The sequence below is a fragment of the Homo sapiens genome, chromosome 10 (genome assembly GCF_000001405.40).
Source record: "Homo sapiens chromosome 10, GRCh38.p14 Primary Assembly".
In the NCBI taxonomy this organism is placed as follows: domain Eukaryota; kingdom Metazoa; phylum Chordata; class Mammalia; order Primates; family Hominidae; genus Homo; species Homo sapiens.
The window spans coordinates 875,774-900,621 of record NC_000010.11 but is presented as its reverse complement, the minus strand read 5'-3'; the positions used below and the strand labels follow the sequence as shown (position 1 = coordinate 900,621).

General features: G+C 40.4%; 1 protein-coding gene across 12 annotated transcripts in view; it reads left to right on the top strand.

Moving 5' to 3' along the window:
- The window catches only part of LARP4B (La ribonucleoprotein 4B), a 181,428-nt gene that overhangs the window by 87,720 nt on the left and 68,860 nt on the right, over positions 1-24,848 (top strand). For 11 of the 12 annotated variants that reach the window (XM_047424897.1, XM_047424894.1, XM_047424893.1 and 8 more), the window contains 2 exons: positions 14,862-14,981; positions 16,116-16,175. In XM_047424897.1, coding sequence (XP_047280853.1) covers positions 14,901-14,981; positions 16,116-16,175 — 141 coding nt within the window. In that variant the 5' untranslated portion in view covers positions 14,862-14,900. Of the gene's footprint in view, positions 1-558; positions 10,039-14,861; positions 14,982-16,115; positions 16,176-24,848 lie in introns of those variants that run through there. The other variant, XM_017015990.2, reaches the window with a different exon arrangement.

Below are 24,848 nucleotides of genomic sequence, written 5' to 3'. Positions count from 1 at the left end.
AAAGGAAATATATCCTTTTTTAGCTGGGCTTTGTGGCATGCTCCTGTAGTTCCAGCTACCTGGGGAGCTGAAGCAGGAGGATCACTTGGACCCAGAAGGTCGAGGCTGCAATGAATTGAGATCGGGCCACTGCACTCCAGCATGGGTGAAAAAGTGAGACCCTACCTCAAAAAAAAAAAAAAAAAAAAAAAAAAAAAAAAAGACATCCTTCTTTCCGATCCTAGAATGCTATGACTGTGCTTTTTATTATTATCATTTTTTTATTTTTATTTTTTGAGATGGAGTTTTGTTCTTGTTGCCAGGCTGGAGTGCAATGGTGCGATCTTGGCTCACTGCAACCTTCTTCTCCCAGGTTCAAGCAATTCTCCTGCCTCAGCCTCCCCAGTAGCTGAGATTACAGGCGCATGCCACCATTCCTGGCTAAGTTTTGTATTTTTTAGGAGAGACGGGGTTTCATCATGTTGGCCAGGCTTGTCTCAAACTCCTGACCTCAGATGATCCACCCGCCTCGGCCTCCCAAAGTGGTGGGATTATAGGCGTGAGCCACTGTGCCTGGCCATGATTGTGCTTCTGATGATTTGATTTAGCTTCTGTGATCATTTTTTTTTTTTTCTGATCAATTTATGTAGCTTCAAAGGGATCAAAGTCTGGGTGGTAAACTGTTTTCTACAAATTTTGTTTGGACATTGAAAGTAACACATTTTGATTTTTTCTAATTGATTCCCAAGGAGATTATATAGTACTTAATTAAGGCAATCTCTAAAGTTCTTAGCCCTTTTTCCTTATTTAGGTAAATTTCTGTTTACTTATCTAGTTGAATATTCATTTACTGATTTTTGTAAAATGGTCTGTAAAATAAAATTATGTTGGAGTTCTTGGAACACATGTCTGTCTAGGAGCATCTTGTGCTGTCCATCTCTGTTCATGCGTCATCCCTTAACTCATTGTTCCTAATCATAGACAATTAGAGTTAGAAGGTAACTTAGCAAACTTTACAAATAAAGAAATGGAGTACTTAGACAACACTGTAGTAAAACTGCATATATTTGAATGTTACTAACAAAAGGAAGAAGATCAAGGTAAGTTGTAATATATCATTGGTGGGATATGTATTTCTGTCCTGTTCTCAGTATCACTGTGTGTAGATAGAAGATAAAACACAGGGATACCTGTGTTCCAGGAAAAGGCAATAGAATGTGCAGAACATGGCAAATAGAACAGGGAGTAATCTGTTGTGAGTAGGGAGTTCCTGACTTCAGAATAATGTTTTTAGATTCAGGAGAGAGGTTTTATATTTGGCTCCCATACAGCACACTCTCATGGGAAATGTCTGTTCTAAGGTCAACCCATAATGCAAAAATCATCAATATACTTGAAGATCCCCGTGTAAGGTACAATGTATTTAATATTATCACTGATACAATTGATCCAATACCAGTTTTAGTCTGGCATTGAATCAAATCACTGTTTTTGTTGTATAAAAAGAGAAATATTTAGCTTATATTTAAGTACCATATTGTAAGAAAAAAGATGCTTATCTTTACATGCTAAAATCATGATCTGTACATTGGTGCAGTGAATATTACTGTAAAAGGGAAGAAGGAATGAAGACGAGCTAAGGAAACTGTAGGTGCACTTCTCTGAGGTCATGTTACGATGTGACATTCACCCACATGCAGGGATTGATAGAGTGAATTGCCTGTTAAATGATCTCCAGGCACATATAGTTGAATAGCAAAATTATATGTGCATTAATATAGCCTCACTGAACTTAGTAGCTTTGTGACCTTAAATTATCCCTGATCTTAATTTCCTGCTGTGCTAAATAGGCATGGAACCTAATTAACAGAATTAAGTTTATTTGGTAACGTGGAGAAAGCACTTAGAATAATCCTTACCAAACTCATTCTTTTTCTTTCCAGGTTTCTGATTCAGAGACAAATAATTTGTGTTTTCACATTACCCTTTCGTACCAGAAAAGAATTACCTGCTGTTTAGGAAATGCCTCTTTATTTTGATTTTCTTAGAAATTATCAAGTTCTGAAATTATGATTTTTGCTATTATTTGAAAATCCAATGAGTTATGCCAGACACACATAAAAAAGGGAGGGTCTTAACCTAGTAGTTTATTATTTGGGTTGTTTCTACTTCTTGGCTATTACGAATAATGTTGCTTTGAAAATTCACATACAGGTTTTCAGGCAGATACATGTTTTCAGTTATCTGGGATATATCCCTAGGAGTAGAATGACTAGATCATATGGTAACTCGGTGTTTAACATATTGAGAAACTGCCAGACTGCTTCCTATAATGGCTGCTCTGTTTTACATTTGTACCAGCAGTGTGTGAAGATTGTAGTTTCTGTATGTACTAGCCACACTTGATATTACCTATCTTTCTGATAATAGTCATCCAAGTGGATGCAAAGTAGTATTTTTGTTTTAATTTTCTGTATTTACTTCATTTTATTTAATTTCATTTCAAAGTGGTATTTTGTGTTTTGATTTGTATTTCCCTCATGACGAATGATGTGGACGATCTTTTCATGTGCTTGGTGGCCATTTGTATATCTTCTTTGGGAAAATGTTCGTTCGGATCATTTGCCATTTTTTTTTTTTTTTTTTTTTTTTTTTGAGATGGAGCCTCGCTTTGTCGCCCAGGCTGGAGTGCAGTGGCGTGATCTTGGCTCACTGCAACCTCCGCCTCCCAGGTTCAAGTGATTCTCTTGCCTCAGCCTCCCAAGTAACTGAGATTATAGGCGCCCACTACCATGCCTGCCTAACTTTTGCATTTTAAGTAGAGACAGGGTCTCACCATGTTGGCCAGGCTGGTCTCGAACTCCTGACCTCAAATAATCTGCCTGCTTCGGCCTCGGAAAGTGCTGGGATTACAGATGTGAGCCACTGCGCTGGGCTCTCATTTGCCAATTTTTAAGTTGGGTTATTTGTCTCATTATAAGTTTTAGGAATTGTTTATATATTCTAGATATATGTTCCGTATTGGATATATGATTTGCAAATGTTTTTTCGCATTCTTTGGGTTATCTTTTCACTTTCTTGATAGTGTGCTTTGAGGGGCAAAAGTTTTTCGTTTTGATGAAATCCAGTGTATTTTTTTCTTCCTGTTTATACTTTTAGTGTCATAATTAATAAACCATTGCCTAATACAAGTTTATGAAGATTTACTGCTGTTTTCTTCCAAGTCATATAGTTTTAGCTTTTACATTTAGTTCTTTGGTTCATTTTGCCTTAATTTTTGTGTATGTTGAGGTAGGAGCCCAGCTTCATTATTTTCATGTTGACATTTAGTTGTCCCAGCACCATTTGTTGACAAGATTGTTCTTTTCCCCTCAACTGGTCTTGACACCTTTGTGGAAAATCAGTTGTCTATAAATGTAACGGTTTCTTTCTGGACTCTCGTTTCTATTGTATTGATCTGTTTGTCTGGTCTATGCCAGTACCATGCTGGCTTGATTACTGTAGCTTTGTAGTAAGATTTGAAATTAGGAAGTGTGTGTGTCTTTCAATTTTATTCTTTCTCAAGATTGCTTTGGCTATTCTGGGTCCCTTGCATTTCCATAGGAATTTTAGGATCAGCTCAGCAATTTCTGCCAAAAAAAAAAAAAAAAAAAATTCTCCCACAAAAGTGAATTTTGATAGGGATTATATTGAATCTGTAGCTTAATTTGGGGTTTGTTGGCATTGTAAAAATACCATGTCTTCCCATCTGTAAACATGGGATGTCTTCCTCTTCATAAACATGGATGTCTTTCCATCCATGAACATGGGCATCTGTCCTTGAGAACTGGGTTTTAAGGGTTTGTATTAGTGGAGTGGTTCTCAAGCTTTTGGTCTAAGGACGTCTTTATGCTGTTAAACATTACTGAAGATGCCTAAAAGCTTGAGTTTATTATATGGTTTGTCTCCATCTGTGGTTTATCTCTGTCTGTATTTACTATGTTAAGTATCAAGAATCAATTAATATTATAAATATACATTTTTAATAATAACAAACCCATTAGGTAATATAAATAACATTGTTTATGAAAGGTAGTAGTATTTTCCAAAACAAAAAATAATTCAGTGGGAAGAGTGGCATTGTTTTTTCATGTTTTGTAAATCTCTTTAATGTCTGACTTAATAGAATCTTGGCTGGATTCTTGTCTGCTTTTGCATTTCATCTCTTAGTACTGTGTTATTTTGGTTGAAGTGTGTGAAGGAAATCTGGCCTCAGGTAATTTATTTTATTATTTTGGTAGTCATTTCATATAAATGAATATTGAATATTCTTTGATGCTATACCAAAACTCCACTGTGGTTTTGTGAGGAGAGAATAAGAGTGAAAAAAGCAAAGAACATCTTTGCATTATTTTGAGAATGGTTTGACTTTGTGGCCCCACTGGAAGTGTTTCTGGGACTCTGGACTATGCCTACACCACACATTGAGAACCATTATCTTAGTGAACAGGACTGAGCAGTGTAGTTTCACAAGAAAATTTGCTCACTGAATTGCACTTGATTAATCTGTATTGAAAAACAACTGCAAAGTGACTTAGATGCTTCTCCTGCATGGGCAGCTTCTCCTGCGTGGGCAGCAGTGCCCTTTCTGTGGGAAAGATGGCAGGGGACCTTGGACTCAGCAACTGATGGAATCAGCAAGCTGGATGTTTTATGAAGACGTGTAATAAAAATAATATGTTATTTAAAAAACTGAGACTCTGGGAGATGAAGTCAATAAGTTAATCACACATTGTTAGTCTTTTGGCATATTTTCTTCTAGTTTCTTGTTTTTACGTACTTATAAAATTTGAATTTTTATAAATATATTGCAACTTTAGTATCTACAGTTTTGTCTTTTTTTTAAATCTTTATGCAGTTTTTGTGAGTATTTTAAGTAATTGTAACATACTGCATTCGTTTCTACTTTTCTTTTCTTTTTTTTTTTTTTTGAGATGGACTCTTGCTCTGTTGCCCAGGCTGGAGTATAGTGGTGCGCTTTCAGCTCACTGCAATCTCCACCTCCTGGATTCAAGTGATTCTCATGCTTCAGCCTCCCGAGTAGCTGGGAATTTTTGTATTTATTTTAGTAGACACATGGTTTCACCAGCCTGGTTAGGCAGGTTGGACTTGAACTGACTTCATGTGATCTCCCTACCTTGTCTCCCAAAGTGTTGGGATTACAGGCATGAGCCTACTTTCTGCGTTTTTATTTCCATGGGATTTTTTTTTTTCTAAGCTGCTGTGAACATTGTTAATAAATTTGTTTACACATTTAGTATTATTTCATTAATACAAATTTTAAATAGAAATAAGCATATGAAGTCTTAAGTGTGTACTGATAATATATCCAAGTTAGGTTTTCTTTTACTTATTATTGTGGACAATTTTATTTATTTTTTATTTTATTTTATTTTACGTTATTTTATTTTATTTTTTGAGACTGAGTCTCACTCTGTTGCCCAGGCTGGAGTGGAGTGGCGCGATCTTGGCTCACTGCAACCTCTGCCTCCCGGATTCAGGCAGTTCTCCTGCCTTAGCCTCTCGAGTAGCTGGGACTACAGGCACACGCCGCCATGCGCAGCTAATTTTTTGTATTTTAGTAGAGACAGGGTTTCACTGTGTTGCCCGAGGCTGGTCGCAAACTCCTGAGCTCAGGCAGTCCGCCCGCCTTGGCCTCCCAAAGTGCTGGGATTACAGATGTGAGCCACCGTGCCTGGCTTATTGTGGACAGTTTTAAACACATAGAAGTAGAGAGGATACTATAGTGATCCTCAGTTCACCAGTCATCTAGCTTTAGCTACCATCAGCTTGCCACCATTCATATATTTTTGTTTCTTCTCTTCCCTTAAACTTACCAAAAAAATTGGCATATTCTAAAGCAAATTCCAGACATATATCTTTATTCATGAGTCTTTTAGTTTCTAGCTGTTATAAAGAAGATCTTTTAAAATAAATATAACAATACTATGGTTGGAACTCAATAAAATTAATAGTAATTTTATCATGTCTTTATTACCTAGGCAACCTTAAAAGTTTTTCTATGTCAAAAAGTTTTCTCTGTCTTTATTACCTAGGCAACCTTAAAAGTTTTTCTATGTCATTTTAAACCTAATTTATTTGACTCAGGATCCAAACACAGTTCTTACATCACATTGGATTATTTTGGTTAAGGCTTTTTAATTCTGTGGCAATAAAAATAGCTCTCCTTTTAAATATCTTTTATTTGCTATAGAAATGAGGTCGTCTTTCTTGCCTACATTTTGGATTTAGATGATGGCTTTGTGCTGGTGTGATTTAACATGTATTTCCCTAGAATTCCCTTTAAATTGGGAGTAAGATCTAGAGGTATGATTAAATACAGGCTCTTTTTTTGGCACGACTACTTTGTGGATGGTAGTCTTTGATCATGTCAAAAATAAAATGCCTAGAGGCCCAGTTTTAATGATAATACTGAAAAATAGCTTCAGTCAATGTCTCACTTAACCATTTGGAAACCTCCCATCACGTTCTTCACTTGATAATTTCAGCAGACATCAATGATTATTGACTTTATTATTGTATTAGATATTGGGATATTTTGATTTTTCCGATCCTGTCATTCACTCCCCATTGACTGTGGTTCTTGCCCTGATCAGCTTTTTGGTTATTCAGAAATGCAGTTCATCGAGGAACAGCAGCTTGAAATAACTGTTGTCCTTTAGTGATCTTGGGAATAATAAGTGGGTGTCCTGTAGTCCCAAGGCGAGCACTGTGGTGGTGGTAGCTCTCATGATTGCTGCCGACTTGTTTTCCGTTCATTCTTCCTGATCCTGATGTGGCTCCGTGCATGGCTATTGGGAATCCCTCCCTTAGTTTGCTGTGGCCTCTGTGTCTTCCTGATGGGACCAGTTGTCTTCATGGCTTCCTGCTTCATGGTAAGATGTCCCAGGCTCATCTCAAATTGAGGAACATTCTACAAAGTAATTAACTAGTGCTCTGGAAAAGCGTAGATGAATAAGGCAAGACTGAGGAACTGCTGCAGTTTAAAGGAGACTCAACGGAAGGACAGCTAAGTACAGCATGAGGTCCAAGATCAGAGCCCAGAATAGGAAAAGGATATCAGTGGTAATAGTGGTGTATTGCAAAGGAAGCCTGTACTGTAGTTTAAAAAGTTACACTTCCAATTTTAAAAAATGACCACGTGGAGTTTACTTAGCTTCTTTAATTTTGTATTCATATCTCCTTTTATGTTGAAAATCTGTGTACCTAACATTAAGGAAATTCTTATCAACTTTATCCTGTTCAGTGTGAATATGTGTAGGCATGTATATATACAATATGTAAAATAAAATAGCTTCAAAATAATAATACCAACATTTACCTCAAAGAACAAGCCTACTGAGTACATTTTAAGATTTCTTGGTGTGGCCAGGCACAGTAGTGGCTCACTCCTGTAATCCCAGCACTTTGGGAGGCCGAGGGGGGTGGATCACATGAGGTCAGGACTTCAAGACCAGCCTGACCAACATGACAAAATCCCGTCTCTACTGGGAAAAAAAAAAGAAAAAAAAGGGTATGGTGTTGCACACCTGTAATCCCAGCTATTCAGGAGGCTGAGGCATGAGAATTGCCTGAGCCCGGGAGGCAGAGGTTGCAGTGAGCTGAGATTGTGCCATTGCACTCCAGCCTGGGTGACAGAGCAAGACTCTGTATTTAAAAAAAAAAAAAAAAAAAAAAAAATTTCTCTTGGTGAATTTGTAGGGTTTTCTGCGTAAATAGCTGTCCTTTAAATTAACAATAATTTTGCCGGGCGCGGTGGCTCACGCCTGTAATCCCAGCACTTTGGGAGGCCGAGGTGGGTGGATCACAAGGTCAGGAGATCGAGACCATCCTGGCTAACACGGTGAAACCCCGTCTCTACTAACAATACAAAAAATTAGCTGGGTGTGGTGGCCGGCGCCTGTAGTCCCAGCTACTCGGGAGGCTGAGGCAGGAGAATGGCATGAACCTGGGAGGTGGAGCTTGCAGTGAGCTGAGATCGCGCCACTGCACTCCAGCCTGCGCAACAGAGCGATACTCTATCTCAAAAAAAAAAAAATTAACGATAATTTTTCTCTAAATCATTATGTCACCAACCTGACATATAGTTGTTTATTTGAGATGGTGTTGTATTTTTAAGATTGTCTTGTGTGTCTAGAAAGACCATAATAACTGTTTAATCATGCAATAAACATTTCTGGTGTACATGAAAAGAAATTTTTAGAAACTGATTTAAGAGAGTTATGGTCTCCCAAGTGTTGAACAAGGTTGATAAAACTTCTTTTTTAGACTGTAGCTTTGACAGATGAGGTTAAAAATGTGTTACTAGCATAGAGGCCACAGATAGGAAGGGAGAACACTTGGACTTATCCTCTCTGCTTTTTACATAAAGAGACATTAAATAAAATCCTCCTGTCCAATTCAGTAAGGCCTGCGAGTGGTGTAAGGCACTGGCGAGTGCGGAGCCCGCCTTCAACTCCTTGGTCGGCTGTGTGGAAGTACTTTGCTTTGGCTGGAGGATTCTTTTCTCCCATTGAATATTTCCCTTTACAATCTAGAGATCTGCTTTTAGGCCATGCCGGGAGGCAATAGTTGATATATTTTAAATCTCAAAATATTTTAGGTCTCTTGAACCAGTAACAAAATATTTGTTATTTATTGAAACAGCTGTCAATACTTGTATCATTCTTTAAATCTCATTTTAGATTCACACATTAGGTAAGTTAAAAAAGCATTAAAATGATACGTTATTAACTGTTTAAATGAGGTGACTATCAGTAATCCCTTCTGTTGGAAAACTTTATAAGCCTTTTTTGAAAAACTGTCAGATTAGTAATTAAGAGATATATTGGTGTAAAGGTTACTTTTTTTAATAGGTAGGATGCAGAGTGTTCAAATCGGGATCACTGTGTTGTGCTGAGACTGTGGCATGGTTACTTTTTTAACCTTTTATTATAGAAAATTTCAAATGTACAAAGGTAGACAGAATAGTATAGTGAACTTCCTTCTCTCAGGTGGAAGAATAACGATGAACCTCAGGGTCTCTGCCCCACATAGTACTTTGAGGAAGATTTCACACATTGTATTATTTTCCCTGTAAATATTTCAATATACATCTCTAAAAGATAGGGTTTCCTTTTTATTAAACATAACCACATCGTTATCACATCTGAGAAACTAGAATCATTTTTTAGTATTATCAGTTGTCCTTTTACTGTTGTTTCTCTGATTATCGTTTTTCTTTTTTAGTAGTTGGTTTGTTTCCTTTATCCAAGTAAAGCCATAGTCTGACTGACCAGCGTGTGTCTTACGTCTCCTTTTGTGTTGAAGAAGCCAGTTCCGAAACTTTCCACTGTGTGGAATCCCTTGGTGGTCCCCTGGCTCTTGTATTTGCGGTTAGTTCGTAATAAGATTTAGGGTCATGATCACATGTTGGTTTTTGTTATCTTTTTTTTTTTTGCAAGACCACTTCATATATGGTATTGTTGGTATTTCCGTCAGGAGGTATATAAATTCCAATTGTCTAAAAAAATACAGGTATTAAATAAAGTGTTATTTTAGTTGATTTTTATTTTTCCCTTTGGCTATCATAAGAATCTTAAAAATCTGGAAATTAATGTTGGCAAAAGCATCCACAGCGCCTTCTATGACTTGCCCATTTGATTGCTAAACTATTAATATGTCTTTAGTTTCTGGATTTCGTGGTTGTGTGGGAATTGATGTTTAATGACATGTAGGTTTCTTTTACAATGGAATCCATCTGTTCTCTCGTAGAAAACCCCCTCAGGGAGTGGGAGCTACTCCCCTCGTGTGTTACTTCAACATCACCTGGAAGTATTTGCTCAGGTTTTTCAGAATCATCTACATAGTTAAAAATAATAATAATAATAATAAAAAAGTCCAAACTACAAAATTGCAAAATCACAATTTGCTCCAGGGATTCTTCATTGCATCCGAGGCCTGAGAACCAAGGACCTAGAATCTCAGTCCAGATGTTCCCGAAATCTGTGTCTTCTACAAGTTAGTTACTCACATTCTGTTTTCAAGATCTTTTTGAGTCCCGATAGCATTTATACTAGTACTTAATATATTTATTTAAATTGATTCACTCTTTTCTTTGTTTAATAAGAAGACGTTGGTACTACACAGACATAAAAAGAAGATACATATACATTAAAATGAAATATATCTGTTAAAGTGTAACATTTGTCATACATCCCGTATTTATTTCAAGCATTTTTTCTCTGCTAGCTTACATTTATTTCCAGCTCTTTTTGATAGCATTTAGATGTTTTTGTGATTGATGATACAGTTTACACAATTGGATGAGATTGCCTTTGATCATCAGATTATTTCATTAACAAGGTTTTTGAGAATTTATCACAAGCAGATTATTGCGAATAGGGAGCTCCACTATACCATGAAAAACCTGTATGGCTACCTAGTAAGACAAAAATAGTTACACTTTTAAAGGTATTTTTTCTGACAGTCTGATGTATGTTTTCAGATGTACCTAAAAAGATACCTGGGTTAAATAACAATATTTATCTTGTTTGGGAAGCAGTGTAGCTTGCAGTAAAAAGAAATGCCTTGAAGTCAGACCTGGATGTCTAGGAATCCTCAGGATACGGGATTGTTACAGTTATCCCTTCTGATCCTTTTGAGAGAGTTTCACTCTGTCGCTTAGGCTAGAGTATGTTTAGGGGCGATCTCGGCTCACTGCAACCTCTGCCTCATGGGTTCAAGTGATTCTCCTGCCTCAGCCTCCTGAGTAGCTGGGATTACAGGCACCCGCCACCACACCTGGCTAATTTTTAGTAGAGATGGGGTTTCACCACTTTGGCCGGTCTGGTCTTGAACTCCTGACCTCAGGTGATCCGCCCGCCTCAGCCTCCCAAAGTGTTGGTGAGCCAGTTACTTCTTACGTTGTTTGGGAAAATTGAGTGAGATGTTACATGTGAAGTTTAGTGTCTAGACATTGGATTGAGTAAATGCTTCATGAAGAACCACTTTGAAAAACATCATTTCTTTCAATGTCATTTCAACATGATGAGAAAGAAGTCAGTTCCTGGCCAGGACCACTGTCTGTGTGGAGTTGGCACGTTCTCTCCATGTCTGCGTGTTTTCTTACGGGTATTCCAGTTTCTTCCCACATCCCAAAGGTGTGCATGTTCGGTGGATTTGCATGTCTTCCTGGTCCCAGTCTGAGTGAGTGAGTGTGGGTGTGTGTGTGAGCGGCCCTGTGATGGGATGGTGTCCTCTCGGGGATGGTTCCCACCTTGCTCCTTGAGCTGCTGGGATAGGCTGTGGCCACCTGTTACCCTGAACTGGAATAAGCAGGTTGAGAAATGAATGAATCAATATAAATTGTTGTGAAACAAAAATTCATAAAGTCTACTATAATAATATAAATGCACAACAAATAGTGCTCAGTGAGCCTGCCCTATTGGTTATCATAGTTTGTTTTTTAACTACTTGGTGGTAGGAATATTCTTTTTTTATTTTTGTTTTTATTTTTTGAGACAGGATCTTATTCTGTTCCCTAGGATGGAGTGCAGTGGTGCGATCTCGGCTTACTGAAACCTCCACCTCCTGGGCTCAGGTGGTCCTCCTATCCCAGCCTCCGAAGGAGCTGGGACTACAGGCACGTGCCACCACACCCGGCTAATTTTTGTATTTTGTGTAGAGATGAGTGTCGCCATGTTGTCCATGCTGGTCTCCAACTCTTGGGCTCAAGCATTCTGCTTGCCTTAGCCTCCCAAAGTGCGGGATTATAGGCGCGAGCCACTGCGCCCTGCCGTAATATTCTTACAGTTTTCACTTTGCAAACATTTATTCCTTGATTGGTTAAATCCAGTGGTGGTTATACCACCACTATGACCACTGTCACTTTCTGACTCACCCAAAATTAGGTACGTAATTGTCTTTCTTGTTAATCTTTTAAAAATGTGTGTGGCTCATATTTATTGCCATTTTAAATATTAGAAGGAGTTTTGGGTCTTTAATTAGAAGTTTGGTGATATTTTTGTGACTGGAAATATGCTGTAGGAGCTTAACACTTGTTTGTGCCTGTGGTACAATTGATTTTGCTTCACGTCCTTTCGCTTGAAGTCAGTTTCCAAGAACCTGTTGATGATGTTAAGTGAGGACACTTAAATATATCTGAATTTAGCATTCATCAACAACTGTTTTTATTTCTGGAGTCCTATTAACTTTGTAATTTTCTGGGTTTTTGTTTGTGTGTGTGTGTGTGTTTTTTTTTTTTTGTTTGTTTGTTTGTTTTTGAGACAGTCTTGCTCTGTCACCCAGGCTGGAGTGCCGTGGTGTGATCTCAGCTCACTGCAACCTCTGTCTCTCTCAAGTTCAAACAATTCTAGTGTCTCAGCCTCCTGAATAGCTGGGACTCCAGGCATGTGCCACCAGGCCCAGCTCATTTTTGTATTTTCAGTAGAGATGGGGTTTCGCCATGTTGGCCAGGCTGGTCTCGAACTCCTGGCCTCAGGTGATCCACCTGCCTTGGCCTCCCAAAGTGCTGGTATTACAGGCGTGAGCCACTGCACCTGGCCTGTTATTTGTTTTTAAGACAGAGTTTTGCTCTGTCGCCGAGGTGGGAGTGCAGTGGCGAGATCTCAGCTAACTGCAACCTCCACCTCCTGGTTCACGCGATTCTAGTGTCTCAGCCTCCTGAGTAGCTGGGATTATACAGGCATGTGCCACCATGCCTGGCTAATTTTTGTATTTTTAGTAGATTGGGGTTTCACAGTGTTGGCCAGGCTGGTCTCGAACTCCTGGCCTCAAGTGATCTGCCCTCCTCGGCCTCCCAGAGTGCTGGAATTATAGGTGTGAGCCACTGCACCCTGCCAGTTTTCTGTTATTTTGTATTTTTTATTGTTTTGATGGAGTCTCACTCTGTTGCCCAGGCTGTAGTGCAGTGGCATGATCTTGGCTCACTGCAACCTCTGCCTCCCAGGTTGAAGTGATTCTCCTGCCTCAGCCTCCCAAGTAGCTGGGACTACAGGTGCCCGCCACCGTTCCTGGCTAGTTTTTAAATTTTTTAGAGAGATGAGGTTTCACCATGTTGGCCAGGCTGGTCTCGAACGCCTTACCTCAGGTGATCCATCCGCCTCGGCCTCCCAAAGTGCTGGGATTTATAGGTATGAGCCACCACATCTGACCTTTTTTTTTTTTTTAATTGTGTATACATAAGGTATATAGCATGATGTTTTGATATACATAGTGAAATGGTTACTGGAGTCCAGCCCATTAATATAGCCATCATTTCATATAGTTTTACCCTTCTTTTGTGTTAGTAAGAGCACCTAAAATATACTCTCAGCAAGTTTCGAGTGTACAATACAATATTACAACTATAGGCCTCATGTTGTACATCAGATCTCTAGACTTACTCATCCAAAATATCTGTAACTTGGTACCCTTTGACATTGATCTCTTCATTTCCTCCCTACCTGCTAGCCCCCTGGTAGTCACCATTTTGTGTGTGTGTGTGTGTGTGAGTGAGGTGGAGTTTCACTCTTGTTGCCCAGTCTGGAGTGCAATGGCACTATCTCAGCTCACTGCAACCCCTGCTTCCCGGGTTCAAGCGATTCTTGTGCCTCAGCCTATAGTAGCTGGGATTACAGGCATGCACCACCACACCCAGCTAATTTTGTATTTTTAGTAGAGACTGGATTTCTCCATGTTGGTCAGACAGGTCTCGAACTCCTGACCTCAGGTGATCTGCCTGCTTTGGCCTCCCAAACTGCTGGGATTATAGGCTTGAGCCACTGTGCCCGGCGGTAGTCACCATTTTATTCTCTGTTTCTATGTATTTGACTTTTTAAGATAGTAACTTTCACATATGAGTGAGATCATGCAGTATTTGTGTTTTTGTGCTGGTGTGTTTCACTTGGCATAATATCCTTCAGGTTCACCCATGTTATAGCATACGACGGGGTTTCCTTCTTTTTAAAGGCTGAATAATACATAATTCCATAGCATAGACAGACAGATACACACATCCCAATTTCTATATCCGTTTGTCCATTGATGGACAACTATGTGGTTTCTATGTCTTGACTATTGTGAATAATGCTGCAATCCACATGGGAGTGCAGATATTCTTATGAGGTGGTGATTTCATTGCCTTTGGATAAATACTCAGAAAGGATAATATGGTAGTTCTATTTTCAAATTTTTGAGCAACTTCCATACTGTTTTCATAATGGCCGCACCAATTTACATTCCCACCAACAGTGTGCAAAGGTTCTGTTTCTTCCACGCCCTGTTATCTCTTGTCTGACTGATAATAGTCATTCTGACAGTTGTGAGGTGAAATATCATTGTGGTTTTGTTCTGCATTTCCCCAATAATTAGTGATGCCGAGCACCTTTTCGTATTTCTATTGCCATTTTTCTGTTGTCTTGGGAAAAATGCCTGTTCATGCCTTTGATCATTTTTTAACCAGGTTATTTATTTATTTATTTATTTTGCTATCGAGTGGTGTGAGTTCCTTATATATCTTGGATATTAAGCCTTCAATTTTCTGTTTTTTAAAAGACTTGAGTTTCCAGGCACAAATGGGTTTATTTGTGTCAGCACATGAGTTTCCAAGTTTTAGAGTGTGGCCATCTTCACCAAAATGGTGTGAAGAAGAAACTTACTTATTTAAAAAATTAAGTATCACTTCTTGGTGAGTAAGGTATGCATATGGGAAGACTTCTTTAAACTTTTTTGAATTCAGAGGGATAAACGTGTGTCCTGGAAAACTTGAGGATTTTAATTTTATTTAAATAATCATACTGTGCCCTTCAAATGACCTGTTTAATGTCTTTGCCATTTTACAGCATCCTGAGGTTAGCATTACACTTCTCCCAGTGGAGCCCATGACTTCTGATCAGGACGCTAAGGTTGTGGCTGAACCGCAGACGCAGAGAGTCCAGGAGGGCAAGGACAGCGCTCATCTGGTGGGTGCTGTCGAATGGGGTGGTGGGGAGTCCATTGCTTTTTTTGATAAAGGACTCTATATTGGAGTTAGTAAGGAGTTCTAAACAGGAACACTGGCACATCTTAGGATCTGCATACAGATATTAGAGTCTCGTAGGGGAGAAAAGATTTCTTACCCATCTGAGGATCATGGCTGAGACCCCTGCAACAAAAGACAGATGAACAAGAGAAAAGCATACACATTTATTTAGTAATAAGTTGTATGTGACATGGGAGCCTCCACAAAGGAAGAACCAAAGAAACAGGGAAAACTGTATTTTTTTTTTGCGAAGTCTAATGCAGATGTTGACAGTTGTGGAGAAGCATGATTGGACAAAAGGGATGTGACCTAGAGCTAATAAACTGGAGAAGCTTAGCAAGGCTGTTGTGTTCAGGTTTTTCTTGACATCCCTGTGTGTTACTGCTCCTGGTACAGAGCAGGGCCCCTCTGGAAGGGTCTTCAGGGGAATGTCAGCTGTGTTTTATGGCCTGCTTCAAGGGAGAAGGGGCAAGGAGAATTCTTTCTAGTTTCCATGGCCTGATTCTGCTGTTTCCTCAAATGTCAATGTGCCATATTTTTTGGGGAGAAAGTCCTGAGCCCCATCAGTCTGAAAAATGTAGAGGTAGCTTAGTAGAGGAAACTATAAGTAGTAGATGATAACAAAAACAAAATTGTTATAGCTCTAGATACTCAAATCCATTTATTTTTTAAATCAAGGATATGTAGTGATTTGTAAATAGTTTAATAACATTATAGTCACTATAGTAGGATGTATTTAAAGAGTTAGGATTTTAATATACATTTTTTTGACTACTTTTGTTCATTTAAACATTTTATGTCAAGCAGTAATATTTAAAGTTCCAAAGTGGCTTTGAGCAAAGTAGCTTTTCTTAGTTTTCCCCATTGAATCTACAAAGAACTTTATCTATGATGTTCATTCAGAATTTAAAAATTTTAAGCCTCCTACATTCTGAATATCTTATGAATTCATGAATTTGTCATGTGAAATGTGCATTTCTTGGTGGGTTTAGTTTTGCCTAATTACTGTGGTTTGAAAATATGTTGTTTCTTTTTAAACATTGTACTGATGTTGTCTTTGTTTTCAATTTTACAGATGAATGGTCCTATATCTCAAACCACTTCTCAGACAAGTTCCATCCCACCTTTGAGTCAGGTAATTCAATTTTGAGATTAATCACAGATTTTTTAATCACAGTCAAGGCTCAGAGATACTTCCTTAAGAAAAATGTTTATTGTAACAAAAATTAGAAAATGTAGATATTTCTCAAAAAGTTGTGGTAGGGGATCCATTCATCACCACAACCCCTGGGTATGGTAACTGTCAATACTGTATGTCCTTTCTAGCTTCTGTGCGTGTCTGTTTTGTGTGCAGTTCTGCCAACAGCAGCATACCATTTAGATTAATTTATTTTCAAATATTACAAAATTTTTATTGTATCATTGATAATCTGTTATATGCGGATGAGTAGCTTTACATTTTGGTAGCTTGTGTTCCTTAAACCACACAAATTGAATAGTAAGCTTTTACTCAGAAAATTTGTTTCACATTTTAGCTGTGATTAATGAAAGAATAAGGAAGTAGAATTCATTGGTTTTTAAATCCTACCTTTCATCATTTGCATATGCATATATAAAGTGCTTCAGAGAGCTACTACTGGAAATTCAGTTTGATCAAAGGATCTTATAAATTGCATAAAATTTAAAAAGTAAAAATATTTTATGTAAAAAATAAAAATTACCATAAATCTCATCTATTCCCCCCCCATTATAAGCAGTTCACGTAGGAATTGAGGAGTTGGATTGTTAATCCAATTGTTTTTTTTTTCAAATAGAGACGAGGTCTCACTGTGTTGCCCAGGCTAGTCTCGAGCTTCTGAACTCAAAGTGATCCTCCCGCCTTGGCCTCCCAAAGGGCTAGGATTACAGGCGTGAGCCACCATGCCTGGCCAGCTTGTAACAAAGAAGAATTTTAAAAAAACAAAAGACACCTTCTAAATTATTATATTTTATAAATATATTATTTATGTAAAATTTTTATGTATTCTGTTTTACATTGATTTTTAATTTATTTTTTTATTATTATTTTTTTGAAACAGAGTTTCCCTCTTGTTGCCCAGGCTGGTGTGCAATGGTGCGATCTTGGTCACCGCAACCTCCGCCTCCTGGGTTCAAGGGATTCTCCTGCCTCAGCCTCCCGAGTAGCTGGGATTACAGGCATGCGCCATCACACCTGGATAATTTTGTGTTTTCAGTAGAGACATGGTTTCACCATGTCGGTCAGGCTGGTCTTGAACTTGTGACCTCAGGTGATCTGCCTGCCTCGGCCTCCCAAAGTGCTGGGATTACAGGCATGAGCCACCGTGCCCGGTGCACATTGATTTTTTAAAAATATCCAAATATAAGACGCTTGGTAGTCTAAGAAGAAAATTATATAAGACATAAAGTAGATATCCCTTGAGTATAAATCTTTAAGGGAGTTTGTTTGCTTCAACAAGTTCCTGTTCTCTCCGTGGTTGACTTTCAGTCCAACATAATATTCAGACATCTTTAGAAACCTATTGTAGGCATTGCTATGAATGTTTTCTAATTAGCATTGTTCATAGTGCACCTAAAGGTGTGGAGAGTTACATGCTTCATAGTTGACCAGGAGTTTGCATTGGTTTAGTGATTAGGTGGCAGTGCTCAGCCAGTTGTTATGATGGGCAAGTGAATACATTTAGCAGTCAGGGTTGAGGAACCAGGCTATTTACAGTTTAGCCATTCTGTCAGAGTTGAGTAGGAGGAGACGTGCAATAGAGATACCCAAAGAAATACATGAATAATTCAGGAGCAGATTTGCATTTATCCACTGGTACTATTTAGTTGTATTTATTAGACAGCTTCCTGCCCTCTCCAAAAAGCTTACTGAGCTAGTAACTATTTACAGGGTTAGCCAAAGAACACAAAAAAGTGATCTCTATTAGACTGTAAGAATATGGTTTCCCTGAGATCGAGACCATCCTGGCTAACACGGTGAAACCCCGTCCCTACTAAAAATACAAAAAATTAGCCAGGTGTGGTGGCACACGCCTGTAGTCCCAGCTACTCGGGAGGCTGAGGCAGGAGAATGGCGTTAACCTGGGAGGCAGAGCTTGTAGTGAGCCGAGATTGTGCCACCACACTCCAGCCTAGGCAGCAGAGTGAAACTCTGTCTCAGAAAAAAAAAAAAATGGTTTCCCTATTTAGTATGAGAACAATATATTATAATGAGTGACATGATTGTCAGAATTACTCAAATTTGTGTACATGTTTTCTCCACTAAACTGTAAACTTCTGGTACTGTGTTCTGTTCATTAAAAAAAAAAACTTTATTAAAGTATAATTTACATTCTGTAAAACTCACCCATTTAAAGTATGCAATTGAATTATTTTTAGTAGATTTACTGAGTTGTGTAATCATCACCATAATGTAGTCTTAGAACTTTTACATTACCCCATTAAACCCCCAGCCCACCCCCAGGCCCACTTATAGTTAGGCCCTGTCTCTAAGGATGGGAGCATCCTTGGGCAGGCACAAACATGCTCTGTGTCTCCACATTCTGTTCCCTTCTGTGGCCAGCTCAATGCATTGTGTCTGGTAGGCAAGCAGCTAGTACTGCCTGCATAAAATTTGAGTATCCATCCATTCATCAAAACTGAGTGCAAGTGATCATGATGGCTAAGACATTTTCTATGGAGAGGTTGTTCAGATGAGCGTGAGATACACGTCTTCGAGGAGCCCTAACACAGCATGCAAGATTGCATGATCACATTGTGTGTGAGCCTTAGGTACAAGATGAGCGTACACCTGGAGGTGGGAGGCACTGAGACGTAGGTGAGTCTAGAAGAAGCACTCTTTATCTTGCCCCTAGTCAAGCAAGGTCATTTTGAATGTTCTCACCTTGAGGTCATAAGGATCTACTGATTTTGAAGTATATCGTACCAATAGTTATGATTACAGTACTTTGCATTAAGTTTACCTGAGTTCCAGGCAGGGACAGTGATGAAACTCTCGATTCCCTCAATATATCAGAAACAGGAAGGAATCTAGGACGCGGAGTGGTCAGAGGGATGGGAGGAAAACCAGAGGACAGTGTGGGGTGGAGATAGAGGCAGGGAGGCTGACTCAAGTGAAGTGTAGTAAGGTAACAAAGCGAGGGGTCAGTTGTGACCTTAGCAAGAGTATTTCCCAGGACTGATAGGAGCAAAAGCCAGATTGCAGTGGGTGAGAGACAGGAGTGGTAGACACAACTTAGACGGTGACATTCCTCCTAAGATCTTGGCTTTGAAGGTAAGGTGATAGAAGGCGAGAGGGGATTGAAAGGGTTTTGAGGGTGTTTATGATGAAGAGTGACCACTGGCAGTGGGCCACAGCGATGGGTTCTCCTTCTTGAGGAAGAAAAAATATCTGACCACTGGTATTCAGCAACAGTGTCGTTTGGTTAAAGGTTCTTTACCTTCCCTGTTAGCGCCACAAACTTCATCTATAGCAAACATCATTCTCAGCGGCTTTTTGCCCCTCCTGAAGCCCACTCAGGGACTCCAGTTCTTACTCCTGTGTGCGACCAGCCAAGTACCTGCTTTTCCCTTGGAGACACTACATCAGCCTGGAAACCATTTTCTGTTGAAATGATCCTCTTGTGTTTTATCATAAATCAACAGCAGGTTTGAGAGAGGAATGTGAGTGAATGATGATGTTTAAGGGACAGGTAATATTAGGTAGAAGTGTTTATGTTAAATTACCTCCTCAGAAGAAAGATGCAAAGTCACAGCAAGTCTTTTCTAATCATAGTGTGAAACTGGAAATCTGAAATTGGAAATCTAACTCATCCTCATACTAAACTCTATGTACAATTCAGCAAAACATCTATATCAGAATGATTTTTTTTTTTTTGAGTCAGCCTCACTCTGTTACTCAGGCTGGCTATAGTGCAGTAGTGCGATCTCTGCTCACTGCAGCCTCTGCCTCCCGGGTTCAAGCTATTCTTGTGCCTCAGCCTTCTGAGTAGCTGGAATTACAGGCATGCACCACCATGCTTGGCTAATTTTTGTATTTTTCGTAGAGATGGGGTTTCGCCATGTTGCCCAAGCTGGTCTCGAACTCTGGCCTCAAGTGATCTGCCCGCCTTGGCCTCCCAAGGTGTTGGGATTACAGGCTTGAGCCACTGCACCCGGCCCAGAATTTTTTTTTTTAAACTCCTTTACAGATGGTAATACCAAAAAACTTTAGTCCCTTCCTTTATCAGTTTTCAAAAAACCACCTTTGCCTTTTGATGACACAGCTTCTGAATGAATAACTATTAATTAGCAATTCAGATTAATTATTGCAGGCCTATATTTTGAATAAGAGTAGGCTTAGCAATCAGAAAGCTTGAATTTCTATGAAAATATCCAACTCCTGTATTTGTACGCAAGTGACACGTGGCTGCTCTTGGTATGTTAATCTTGCAGGTTAGACCTTTTGGCAGGTTGTTACCACCTTGTCAGTCTGTTTTAAGAACAGACTTGGGCCAGGTGCGGTGGCTCATGTCTGTAATCCCAGCACTTTGGGAGGCTGAGGCGGGCGGATCACCTGAGGTCAGGAGTTCGAGACCAGCCTGACCAATATGATGAAACCCCGTCTCTACTAAAAATACAAAAATTAGCTGGGTGTGGTGGTGCACGCCTGTAATCCCAGCTACTCAGGAGGCTGAGACAGGAGAATCGCTTGAACCCGGGAGGCGGAGGTTGCATTGAGCCGAGATAGTGCCATTGCACTCCAGCCTGGGCAACAAGAGCGAAACTCTGTCTCAAAAAAAAGAAAAGAAAAGACTTGGCCGGATGTAGTGGCTCACACCTATAAATCCCAGCACTTTGGGAGGCCAAGGCGGGAGGATTTCTTGAGCCCAGTTCAAGACCCCATATCTACAAAGCAAAAAAGAACAGGCATGGTGGTGTGTGCCTGCTGTCTCAGCTACTCAGGTGGCTGATGGGGGAGGATTGCTTGAGCCCAGCAGGTCGAGGCTGCAGTGAGCTGTGATTGCACCACTGCACTCCAGCCTGGGTGACAGAGGGAGACCCTGTCTCTAAAAAAATAAAAACAAAAGACCTAAGAACTTTCCTTAAGGATGTTGATACAGTTTCCTGTCTTAGAAATATGTTTGTTACTATGTCAGGAAGTGTAAAGCTGCCTTTACCTCAGCATGATTTAGTGACAAAACAATCCATTTACCCCCAGAGTGTATGCACGGTTCTTGGTCTCCTGGTACTTCGGAGAACTTGCCCCAGGATGGGGGATACTCTGACCAGATGCCCTCTTTTCCTCTTAGAATGTATTCGTGCTGAGACGGAGTAGATCCTTTTTAATGTAGGATATTTCTTTTTGATGACATAGTATTGTAACATTTTGATTGTAGCATTTTGGCCACTGACAGAAGGAATGCCTTCTATAACACATACCCGTGATCTTTTCAGCTCCAAGGCATATTTAAAAATAGAGGGATTTCTTCATTCTCTGTTTGGCTTACTATTCTTAGTTGTATCCTTGTGTAAATGATTTACATGCTGCTAAAACTTCTCTTGTTGTGGAAGTGTGACAGATGTAATAGTAGTCTTTCAAGGCACTGGGATCAGTAAAAACATCTCTCAACTTAGAACATTTTGTAATTTCTTTAAAAAAATTAGTAATTTTATTGCTTAGTATTTGCATCATTTAGAATATGACAAATAGTTTTTTTGCAAACTCTTTTTCATTTTAGGATTCAGTTTAATTGCTATTAAGGCATTTTGTTCAATAGTAGATTTATAAATCAACTTTGTGTGGCAGTACCATGCAAACAGTTGTACTGAGAGAATAGTCACATCACTGGGAGGAAGCGACAGATGTGTCGGAGTCCGCTGCCTGGCAACTGGCTGCCTTCCTAGGCCCCGGTGTCCTTACATGTGTGTGGAAATACAACACATACAGCTATGTGCACAGATCGTAAAAGTACAACTCAGTGTATTTCTGCAAAATAAACACACGTAGGTAATCCACTGCCAGATCCTGAAACAGCAATTTTCAGTTTTGGCAGCAATTCGAAGACATGTCACAATTATAGAAATTGTGAAAGTAGGAGAAACGTGTATCTTCAAATCAGGGAACTTGTGTAGATGAGATACATGAGTCACGCAGGGGTGTCAGAGTTTCTGAGATGGTCAGGCTGCTTCATTTTTTGTTTGGACTTCTCATCTCATGGAGCCAGTGCTTCTCACCTGGACAGCTGCAGTCACTCCTCACTGGTGTCCCCAACCCACCCTTCCTTTCTAACACAGTGGCCAGAGGATCCCTTCGAGAAGGCCAAGTCAGAACCTGCCACTCCTGTGCTCAACATCACAGTTAGCCTGAGTTCTGGCAGGTCCCTAGCCTTCGTAGTCTGGCACCTGTCCTCTCTGACTCTGCTGCCCACTGGCTCTCCTCTGGCACGCTGCTCCAGCCCCAGTGGGCTCTTGACCCTTGACCATTCCAGCATCACCTTACCGCAGGGCTCTCTGCCTCAATTGGTTCTGGTGTGCCCCTTTCCCAGAAGTCTTTGAGGCTTATGCTCTTACCTTTCTCAGTCTCGGCCTCACCTTCTCAGCGAGCCCCATCTATCCGCATCCGTCTCCTCACTTCTGGCTTGCCTCAGACCCTTTACGTGTAGCAGTTAGCACCTTCTAACAATGTTAGGTATTTGTTAGATTTAGTGTTTGTCTCCCTGGACTAGAATGCAAGCTCCATCAAATCTGGGGTTTAGTTTTGTTTACTGATGTATTCCAGTGTCTTCCTGACAGGTAGGTGCTCCATAAATGTCTCCAGTGTAAAAGAATATATCACATATGGTGGTAATCACTGCAGACTCTCATGGCTCTTACTGTGCACTCTCCTAACACTTCCGTTTACTCATAAATTCCTGTTAGCCCTACACCTGTCTTACCCCTAGGTACTGTTATCCCCATTTTACAAATGAGGAAACTGAGACACAAAGAGGTTTAAGTAATTTATCCCCAAGATTACTGGACTAAAAAGTGGTAGAACCAGGATTTGAACCCAGGCAATCTGGCTTCAGAGTCCAAACTCAAGAGGAAATACTTTGTATTTGGCACCGTTATTTCATTTAAAAAGAGAAACCAGAAGGAAATAATTTAAAACACTCAGCTCTTTCAGCCATCTGAAAGGCTTTTCAGAATTGTTTGTTTTTTTAGAGACAGGGTCTTGCTCTGTCACCCAGGCTGGAGTGCAGTAGAACAGTAATAGCTCACTGCAGCCTTGAACTTTTGGACTCAAGTTATCCTCCTACCTCAGCCTCCCAAGTAGCTGGTACTACAGACACGCGCCCCCACACCCAGCTAACTTTTAATTTTTATTTGTAGAGATGGGGTCTTGCTGTGTTGGCGAGGCTATTTCAGATATCTTTAAGGCTGTTCCCCCATCACAGGCCCATCACATTTGCCCTCTAGGAGGGCAGAAGGGTTTTGGTAGATGAGCACTGGGGGCCCTCCACAGGCTTGCTGCCCAGAGCCGCCTCGGACCTCTGCTCCCCACATCCTGTGCATTGCTCCTTAGTCACCTCAGCTGCTGCTTGAGTGGGCCCAGTGGTGGCTTGAGCTGCGGCTCCAGAAGGTACAAGTCATAAACCTTGGTGGCATCCATGTGGTGCTGATTTTTCAGGCAAGAAGAATGCTAGAGCTGTGGGGCAGCCTCCACCTAGATTTCAAGAGATGTCATGGACAGCCTGGGGGCCCAGGCAGAGACTTGTCACAGGAGCAGAGCCACTGCAGAGAGCCTGTACTCGGGCAATGGCAAGCAGAAATTTGGAGTTGAACCTGCTGCAGAGAAGCCCCCACCAGGGCATTGCCTAGTAGAGTCATGGGAGTGGCCTGGGAGCCTTAAACTGTGGAGCTGCCAGCTTGCAGCATCAGCCTGGGAGAGCTGTGGGCAGGAGACTCCAACCCCTGACAGCTGCTGGGTGGACTGAGCCCAGCAAAGCCATCGGGTGGGGCTGCTTGAGGCCCTGGGGAGCCAACCCTGTTCCACTGTGCCCAGAGGGTTGGGACATGGAGTCAAAGGAGATGATTCTCCAGAGAGGCTTAATATTTAATATTGTCTGCCCTGTTGGGTCTTGAACTTGGGACCTCTTGCTTCTTCTTGCCTATTTCTCCCTTTTGGAAATAGATTTTTTTTTCTTTTCTTTTTTCTGAGACGGAGTTTTGCTCTTGTTGCCCAGGCTGGAGTGCGATGGTGTGATATCTGCTCACTGCAGCCTCTGACCCGCTGGGTTCAAGCGATTCTCCTGCCTCAGCCTCTCAAGTAGCTGGGATTACAGGCATGCACCACCACACCCGGCTAATTTTTTGTATTAGTAGAGACGGGGTTTCTCCATGTTGGTCAGGCTGGTCTCGAACTTTTGATCTCAGGTGATCCGCCTGCTTTGGCCTCCCTAAGTGTTGGGATTACAGGCGTGAGCCATCGCACCTGGTCGGGAATTTTTTTGTGTGTGTGCCTGTCCCACCATTGTATTTTGGAAACACATAACTTGTTACTTTCAACACTCAGGGCTGGAGAGGAATTGATCTTGGGGTGAATTGTGCCTTGAGTCTCACCCTATCTGATTCAGATGAGACTCTGGACTTTTAAGTTGATGCTGAAATGAGTTAAGACTATTGGAGGTATTGGGATGGAATGAGTATTTTTTGCATTATAAGAAGGACATGAATTGTGGGAGCTGGAATGGAATGCTGTGTTTTTCATGTGTCCCCCAAAGTTCATGTGTTGGAAAATCAGTCCGCCGTGCAGCAGCATTGGGAGGTA